This window comes from Homo sapiens, chromosome 7, assembly GCF_000001405.40.
Source record: "Homo sapiens chromosome 7, GRCh38.p14 Primary Assembly".
NCBI lineage: Eukaryota > Metazoa > Chordata > Mammalia > Primates > Hominidae > Homo > Homo sapiens.
Window position 1 is genome coordinate 35414854 of NC_000007.14, and position 9594 is coordinate 35424447.

Here is a 9594-nt window from a genome sequence, read left to right on the forward strand (position 1 = left end):
GATGGACAGATGCATGGCTAAACAGACAGATGGACAGAAGGATGGAAGAATCAATTAATGGGTGCATGGATGTGACAAAGCCCAACTCAAGAGAGGGACAGAAACAAGTTCGGCTCATTTGAGTCCCAGCTCCTCATTTCTAGTCATGGACTTCTGTGTATCCTAGAACTAAGAGATGCAAAATATCGGTAAATAATAGTTAGTTTTCCCCTTCATTGTCTCTAGCCATGTGTTTCCAAGAAGTACTTTAAAAGTGACAGTAGACAAGTATTTTGTTTAGCATCCATGCAAAGAGCTTTCTAAAAAGCAACAAATTGAAAGACAGATGTTATTCCTGCCATGTAGACCTCTCCATCAGACCTTGTAGACCTTGCATACTCAGCCCCTGAATGGACATGCAGGGACCTTGAGAAAAGGCACATTTCAAGAGGGAAGCACAGAGTCTTGTCATGTCCTGGTGGGAATACAAATAAATTAATAAATTAAGCCAAGCCAGGCCTGCAAAATGCCTAGCTAGACATTCAAATACCATGGCTCCAAGCTGCTCAGCCTTATCTGCATTCTTGAAGTTTCAACAGAGCCGCTGGCAAGCTGGCTGCCAGAGCTGATCTTTTGCTGTCGGCATATGGGGTAATAACCTCCATGGATGAGGGTGTGCAGCTCCATGCATGAAGGAAGGCACGGTCTTCCTGTCCTTTTGCATGGAGCCATGACCTCATCCTGCCTCATCTCATGTCTCCAAAATGCATCCCTTAGAGGCCAATGAAGCAGGCAAGCTGGAGGTAGGAGACGTCATCGGTGAGAAAGGCTGCTTTGTTGTGAAGTGCCTTTGGGTGGGGACATCTGCCAAACTGGCCACGTGAAGCTGAGGACAGGGCCAGGGTAATCCAGAGGGAGGCAAACAAGGATACACAAACTTTTCCCACTTGCCTTGATCCTTAGAGAAGCTGTTTCCAGATGAGGCCTTTCATCGACTTCCTACTGAGAGACCTCAAGGCGCCTAAACTACATGTTCCGTGCCATATGGATCATCCAACACAAACAGTGACTGATGCTGCTTGCTCTCAGTTATCCAGGAGCTGTTAACTTAGGGTGTGGGTCAGCCAGAACCTTGGCTTCCTCTTCCCCTCCATGGCTTGGCTGTGCTTGTACCAGCCTCCATCTCTTCCTAGAGGAGACCCCTGCAAAGCTCAGCCTGGCTTCTTTTCTGTTGGCATTTGTAGGACTCTCAAAAGGCAATGTCAGGACACATCTTATCCATCATCTATTTCAATCTTTTCATTTTACAGATAACGAAAATGAGGCACAGACTGGGGGAAGTTAGTGGCAGAAATGGAGCTTTAATGTAAGCCCTAGGATCTCCAGTCCAGTGATCTTCCATCGTGTCCAGCTCCCACTTAAAACGTAAATGTGTTAGGAAAGGTTGAAATCAACAGTAAGTGGGAAGTTTAGGGACCCCTGTCTTCTTCATTCATCTATTCTTCACTCGCTATCTCTCCATTTCCTAAATATGTTGCCTGAGATGGGATTAGAGAATAGATTTCATCTTGAAGGCCAAATCTGCTCAATTGGCTGGCAGTGGCTACCTGAAGAGCTACAGAGGACATGGAGTGTCATGACCCATTGTGGATGTCTTTGTGGACAAAGGAATGGTGATGTGCAACAGCCATTCCAGGCTTGGATGTGAACACTACCATAACCCAGCCTCATCTGACGCACCTCGCTTCATATTCTGTCTCCCAAATAGGGGTCCTATATTGGAGTCTGAACCTGACTCAGCCTTCCCAGTGAGCCACAAGGGTATCTTTCTTCTGCTTCTGCATTTTCTTCTTCCATGTGTCTTCCTGCCTGGGCTGCTGTGCATGACTCTCTCCATCTCTCAAGTCAAGCCTCAAGGCCTGTGTCTCCACCCAGCCTTCAGCCCACATGGATGTCCACTGAGCTGTGACTGTACTGAACAATATGCCACCTAATGACACAACCTTGCTCAGGGACTGAGTAAGTTTGTTCCTGTTAGTCTTTTCTCCCCAGTGAAGAATGTTTTTTTGATATCTTCAAGAATAGTAGGGACACAATAAGTTTTCAATAGTTGACATTAGAGTCAATGTGAACAGTGAATTTAAAATTAATTTTTAAAAATATACATGTATATTTTGATTCAGTTAGAAGAGAAGGAGGGCTTAGAGATTTCCTCCCTCTTACCTTCTCCCTTCTCATTCATTGAACCATGACTGCCTTTCAAAATCAATCATAGTGAGATTGACATGAAGGCAGCATTTTCTAAAAATCAAACTCAAGTATAAGCCCAAGTGAATCAATTTAATATAAATTATTGGTACCTCAATAAGTTGAGAGAGATTGTTAAGCCTTCCAAGTGTCATCTTAAGCTAAGCAGATGTTAACTGTCATTTATTCTAGGATTTGGTCCTCAGAACTTAGGAAGGAAGTCAAATACAGATAACGTCCTTAAAGATTTCATTCAGTTCTTTAAATAGAAAAAACCATCATGCAAAAATTTTTACAATTTCTTCCCTCAGCAAAAACCTGCAAGCCTTTTCTTATAAAGAAAGAAAATATAATTATTATCACTGATATTATTATGAGTAAAAATAATGCCAAAGTAATTAATTATTTACCCAGAGGCTGTCTCTAAGAAAGTTGAGAATTTGTATTAGGGGATGAGGGAAGGAAGAATAAAAATTCAGGATCTTTTACTATCATTAAGGCCTCCTCACATATTTTTCCAACTGCTTTTTATTCATAGATAGGATTATTAGTATGTGTTTGCCAACAGGACCAGCCTGGCGGATAACTGAAACCCTGTCCTCTCCATCATCCACCCCCTGTCCCAACAAAGTTCCTTCATTTCCCACTTTGAGTGCCAATATTACCAGAATTTTTGAGTTCTTTTCATGGTTAGCACCTGTGCGTTCATAGACAAGTAGGGAGGCCTCTCAAACAAGTCATCTCCACTGCCCTGAGTTTGGGAAGGTTTTCCTCATGCCCACTTGGCTTTTCAGGGTCCAGTCTCTCAACACCATGAAAAGCTAGAGAGGCAAGGGGGTGGTCTCCTACCCACCCAGGGCTGGGCAGGCTGATGGGGAACTGGTCTCTAGCACACCCACCACCCACAGTTCAGGAAAACATGGAGGACCACCTCTGGCAATCATTTTCAGGCTATGTTTGAAGGCCCGAGGCTCTCCTGAGGTGACCAGGGCAGGGCTCTGAGCTCCCCTCAACGCCTTCCCAAAGTCAGAGCCTCTCTGCTTTAGATCACACTGTGTACACAGTGAGGTTTTAGTGAAATGATTGCATGACAAAGCCCCTTTGCTTTTAAAAAATGGAAAAACGACTTACTTAATAAATGCCCCATTGCCTTAGAATTCCATGGTGCCGAAAACAGCTTTTTCAAAAAGCGTTTGCTCAAAATACCCTGGGAATGAAAAGTTGTGGAGGATACAGGAACTAAAAGCAAAGCTTATTTGGTCTGATTTTTTTTTTTCCCTAAGAAGAAGAAAAACATGAGTATCAAATTTAAAAACATTTGCTGAGAAGTCTAACAAGACAATTTCATAGATTTTTGTTTTTTAAAGTCAGACAAAGTTTTAGAAACAAATTGTTTTTGGAATCAACAGAAGCTTTTTATTGTACCAGGTAAGAACATTACAAAAACAAAACAAACAAACAAAAAAACACCAAAACAATCAGAAGAAAAATCCCCATTATCCATCTTTTAAAAGGGAATCTTTACCACCAAAAACATAAGAAGGACATAATATCAGAAGAGAGGACAGATCTTTTAATAAAAGATATTGAGCTTTGTGAAAATGTAGCCCATGTCTATATTTTTCTTGTCTTGCTATGGACAGGTGGAAATTCCATCAGACTCTGGTCTTTTGGTCTTTAGATGGTGGGGAATTCCCAGAGGAGTGAGAAGATTGGGGTTGGAGTGGCCCACGTATGTCTCCCAGGCCTCTTATTTCTCTCTGGTGGTGGTGGTGGTGGTGGCGGTGGTGATGGCGGTGGCGGTGACGGTGGCGGTGGCGGTGGCGGTGGTGGCGGCGGCGGCGGTGGCGGTGGCGGGCTAGTAAGACCTCTGCGTGTCTGAATGTCTGGAGCCCTGCTCACTCATCCTGTCAAGTCTGGCCGCAGTCTGGGAGCCAGCGGGGCAGTGTTTGTGGAGCCAAAGTGGAGATTAAGTCATGTTTTAGAGGTGACCTCTGTCCACCCCTTTCTGCAGGCGTCCCTTCCCCTCCGGCCTCACCCCCTAGCAACTCCCCACCTACTTGCTGTTGCTCTGTACAAGCCCCTCCCAGCCATCACAGACCCCGCAGGGCTCCCTGCACACCCACCATCACCTCCCGACCCCCGCCCACCCCCACGGTTGCCTTCTCCTCAAATGGACCTGGTCTTTGTTGTTCTAATTAGATTATCTCTGCCTTAGGGACCTAAAGGACCGTCTCTAGCAGCTCTGGCTGGAAAGGCAGGTCACATAATCCCTGTTATCAAGAGGCTTGTCATTTAGCATGTAGATCAACTAATTCTTTCAATACCAGGGGAATAATTGTGCATCTTAATATTGATTTTTTTGGAGATACAATCGCCTGCATTCCTGAATCAGACTCACTTACTGAAGCTAAAAGGTTCCACTCACTATATTATGAAACCACCCCCACCCCGTCACATGCTCCATCCGAATTTAATGCTACAAAGCTGGACACATCTGAAGGGCTTTGTGTTTTTCCACTTGGTTCAATTTCAGAATGAGCCTCCTGTTGAAGAGAAACAGAAAAAAAGAATTCTGGCTATTTTTAAGACAGTGTGTGTGTTTTTGTTTGGGGCAGGGAGAAGGGGATATTCTGCCGACGTCCTCCACTCCCTAGGCTTTGTGGTGCAGTGTTGTTGGGGTCCCAGTTTAATGAAGCCAGCCTATTAGGTTTCTATGTTTTATGATGAATTAGTAGGTTGGGCTTTCCAATGAGGCTGGGGACATTTTCCTATCAAATACCCTTCCAGGGAAGTGGGAGGCAGAGAAAGAAAAATTTGAGCTGTGGCAGTAAGAAAAAAACGCCACCTTCCCAAGGGGTGAAAAATGCACTGAGATTCGGGACAAGCAGAGGTGTTGCTTCCACATTGGGAAGGGGTGTGAGGCAAAGGACATAGCAGCCAAGGGCCAGTGCAACTGTTCTACCCAGAAAATCAGTGCCCCTGCATCCTAGGTGCTTGCTGCAATAAAGCTCTTCTTCAGTCATTGTTAATAACCATGATAACTATTGACACTCTTTGCAAAGATCTGCCCCAGGTTTGGCACAGAGCAGCAGCATTGCCTTCCAAACGTTATACACATCAGCCCTCTTCATCTTCACAGACAAGCCTGTGAGACATGTTCTACTCATTGTTCCCATACTGCAGATTAAACCACTGGGATCCAGAGAGATTATATGATTTGCCTGAGGTCCTCAAATTAATAAACCCAAGGCTGCTCCTAAACTTGTAGTCCTAACTAGAACACTGTTCTTCATTCTTCTGATGTTGATAAGGGGTTCATTCATTTATTCCATTATCTTCTCATTCATACTGAAAAGATTGCTCACCTTACAGGTTCTATGTGCCAAGGATAGAAAAAGGATGCATGGTGTACAGTGGTAGACAGACAAAAATAAAATAAATACTACACACATCAAATAAGATGATGCCTGCTCCCATAGAGAGATGAACAAAGTGCAGTAGGAATACTGGAAAGGGATCTTTCTTAAAGATTTCACACAGGTTTTAAGATATAAGTTGTTTTGTTTTGAAAAAGTCATTGAAAATGATTAGATGCCTGAGAGAGAAGGGGGAAAGGACTGAACTAAGAGAAATTCTCATTAAAAGTCTGTTCTGTATACAAGCTAATGAAATCATGCTACTTTCCTTTGTATTTATGTGGAATCTTCTATCCAGGGCTCTAGATATGCATTGACATTTTATTGCTTGCAAAGTGAAACTAACAAAGTCTTCAAACGGAAGCGCAGAGGCAGTGGACTTCCAAACACTCTTAATGGAGTTCCAGTATGCACTGGGACTGAGATACTGATACATGACTTTTTGTGATTATATTCCGTAGCAAATTAAGAAAGAATTATAGTTCACTTTTTGTTGTTAAATTATAACGCAGTGTGTGGTTAATCAGACTTGTAGATTTACTTCCCAGAGCTACTTTTGCTGCATTGTTTTACTTAGCTGTCTGCCTGATGCTATTGGACTGCAAAATCTTTGTGGAACATGCTACAAGGGCTTAGTTCAGTGTCTGGCACACAGTAGGTGCTCAATATATATTTGTTAAAATAAAAAATGAATGCATGAATGAATCAACAAATGCCTGTAAAACATCTCTTGAAAGCAAATCTTATACCCATTATACCATGGGTCTGCACCATGACTCTATCATACTTTTCTGGAATAATCCCAGCTTTAAACATTCTGTTCCCTTGTCCTCACCGACCATCAAGATGACCATTTTAATATTTGAGCTTCCAGCTAGCAGCTTCTTGTGCCCAAAACCAATTACTAAGATTCTTTATCAGAATCATGCGTCCCAAATGTCCTATTGGGAAACAAGACCACCATTGCAAAAGAGAAGCTATATTCTTGGGTAAGAAAGTAGACACCATTAGGGGGCATGAGAATAAGGATCTTGAACTGCAGCCCAACCATTTGGGGTCTAATAGTTTTTGGTGTTCTCATTAACGGAAGGGACACTTTACATAATATTTATTCACTCCTCAACAAATGCTTTTTGAATTTTCCAAGAATACTGAACATGTATCAACTGCAGGAAATTCTGTATAAAATTTTGATGAGGATTTGATTGACAATATTTGACTTGTCAGCCTGGATCCTCATTCAATTTGTCCAACATGAATTTTGTTATTTTCAAGGCTTAAACATCAAAAAAATCATAGCATCGTAGTAGTAATGAAGAACCCCAAACTTGAAGTGGGCAGTTGTTATAGTCTTTCTTGCCCATCAACTTTTGTTTATTTTTATTTGTATAAACTGATGGGGTACATGTGTAATTTTGTTACACTTGTAGTTGAGTACTGGTGAAGTCTGGGCTTTTAGGGTAATCATCACCTGAATAAGGTACATTGTACTCATTAAGTAATTTCTTATCATAACCCCCCACCCCCCAAGTACCTACCCTTTCCAGTCTCCATTGTCTATCATTCCATACTCTATGTCCATGTGTAAACATTAGTTAGATCCCACTTATAAGTGAGAGCATGCAGTATTTGGTTTTCTGTGTCTCAGTTATTTTACCTAGGATAATGGCTTCCAGTCCCATCCATGTTGCTGCAAAATACATGATTTCATTCTTTTTAGTGGCTTAATAGTACTCCATTGTGTATATATACCACATTTTCTTTTTCCATTCATCTGTCGAGGGACACTTAGGTTGACTCTGTATCTTTGCTATCGTGAGAAGTGCTGCAATGAAGTGCAGGTATCTTTTAGTAATAATTTTTTACTTTTGGTAGATACCCAGTAGTTGGATTGCGGGATCAAATGGTAGTTTTAGTTCCCATCATCTTTAAAATAACCTCCCTTTATTAGCTGAAATATCCATGTCTCCCAATATAGAAGTTGGAAATGAAGTTACTTGCCTCCTTCATACCCAGGACACAACATTTGTCCTGTGGGTTCATCAGTCAGTTGTACCTGGGAAAGACTTCCACATGGAAGATCCTATTGCAGAAATGTCCTCAAAAGGGATGGAAAAACTGGTGCAGTAAAGCTGAATCTCTGGCACTAGGTATTCAGCAGTGTCAGAGACAATGATTTTCTTGCCAGGCCATTTTCTGTTCAGAGTTTGGGTGTTGCTCCTAGGAGCTGAGCTTCAGGTCCCTCTCTCTAGCCCTTCCCCCAATTCTGTGAGTTCCTTCATATTCATTAATAAATTCTTTTCCTGCTTAAACTAGTCAGAGTGGATTTTGGTTGCTTTGCAACTAGAAACATGGACTGCCACAAAAGGTGACATTCAATAGTAAAAATAGTCTTGACACTCACACAGAGTACATCATCTGGCAGTCCAGGGTGAACAGTGAGTATGTCTCCGCGTGCAGTAACAATGGGTTGAAAAGTCAAAGAGTTTCAATCACACAGAAATCCTAGCAACTAGTTTGTTGTAATATGGCTAGGGGTTTTCTGGTTGGACATATTACTATGTTTAATCAAACAACTTGGAAGACAATCCAGACTGCCCTGTTATTTAAGAAAATACTCATTTGGAATATCCAAGTGATTGTTCCTAGGGCTGAGCCTATTGTTTCCCAGCTTTAACGCAGGAGTAAGTTTTTGTGTTTTATGAATCCGTAATGCCTATTGTATTGGTTTGCCAGGGCCGCCATAACAAAGTACCACTGACTGGGTGGCTTCAATAACAGAAATATATTTTCTCACAGTTCTGGAGGCTGGAAGTCCAAAACTGAGGTGCTGGCAGGGTTGATAGCTTCTGCGGCTTCTCTCCCCAGTTTGCGGTCCTAACATCGTTGCCCCTCAGTCTGTGTCCTGATCTCCTGTTCTTATGAGGACACTTGTCATATTGGATTAGAGCCCACCCATAAAACCTCATTCTACCTTAATCACCTCTTTAAAGACCCTATCTCCAAATACAGCCATATTCTGAGGTACTGGGGGTTAGGACTTCAACACAGGAATTTGGGGCAAGTGACACACATCAGCCCATAACATCCGTGTTCCTCTAAATTATTTAAATCTAAGACTGATTTGGAGAAGCTAATTTCAAAAGTTACCACTACATATGTTTATTTTGACATAAATCTTTACAGTGAAAGGATCTATTGGTTATTACATGAAAATTCCATTTCAGAAAGTGAGGTTAGACCTCTCCCTCCCCACACCCTCTATCTACCCTTGAAAGTTTGCTTTTTAAGGAACTAAAATGAGAACTAAACAGCTTTTAAAGACTGGTCTTCTCCATATCCAGTCTTCCTTGCTCATCAAGTCTGCACTAAAATCCTACTTTCACCACGAGGCCTCTCCTATCCTCCCCCAGCCACATGGGCTTTCTCCTCTTCTAAACTCTGAGAACACATTAATCATGGCTCCCTGGCAACACAAACTTCTACCTTGGAATAGAGTTTTCTGTCCACATGTTTCGTTTTCCCTGTAGATTAGATATTCCTTAAGGACTTGCCTGATTCATTTGTGGTACATACTTGTCCAGCAAGGAGGTAGCAGGGTATATCTACTGCCCTGTTCTCGTGGCTTGATATGAAGGGCCCCTTTCCAATGTTATTTTCCAAATATCCTTTCTCCAGTGCTTTATTGCCAGGCCTCTGAAATTATACTTCCCTTCTTGTCACTCCCAAATACCTCCAGCATAACCCTCATCAGACTTTCTCGGTCTTAGTCTTTCTCCTTCTTTTACAACCCCAGTGACCTTCATCAGCAATAATGAATATTGCTGAAGTCCTCTCCCTTTCTGTCTCATCCTTGGGTGGAGGGTAGAGGGAGGGTCCTTGCCCTGACAAGCAATGCAGCATACTTTTATGGATATAGGGTATATGGGAGCTCCTAGTCCCACTACAA

The 9594-nt window shown here is 42.3% G+C and overlaps 2 annotated features.

Moving 5' to 3' along the window:
- Positions 337–1755: an enhancer, noted in NCBI's record as "VISTA enhancer hs461". NCBI's record gives its function as "enhancer in: eye[9/9]" and the evidence as "EXISTENCE:transgenic organism evidence [ECO:0001131][PMID:17130149]".
- Positions 4088–5059: an enhancer, noted in NCBI's record as "VISTA enhancer hs472". NCBI's record gives its function as "enhancer in: hindbrain (rhombencephalon)[5/6] | eye[6/6] | heart[6/6]" and the evidence as "EXISTENCE:transgenic organism evidence [ECO:0001131][PMID:17130149]".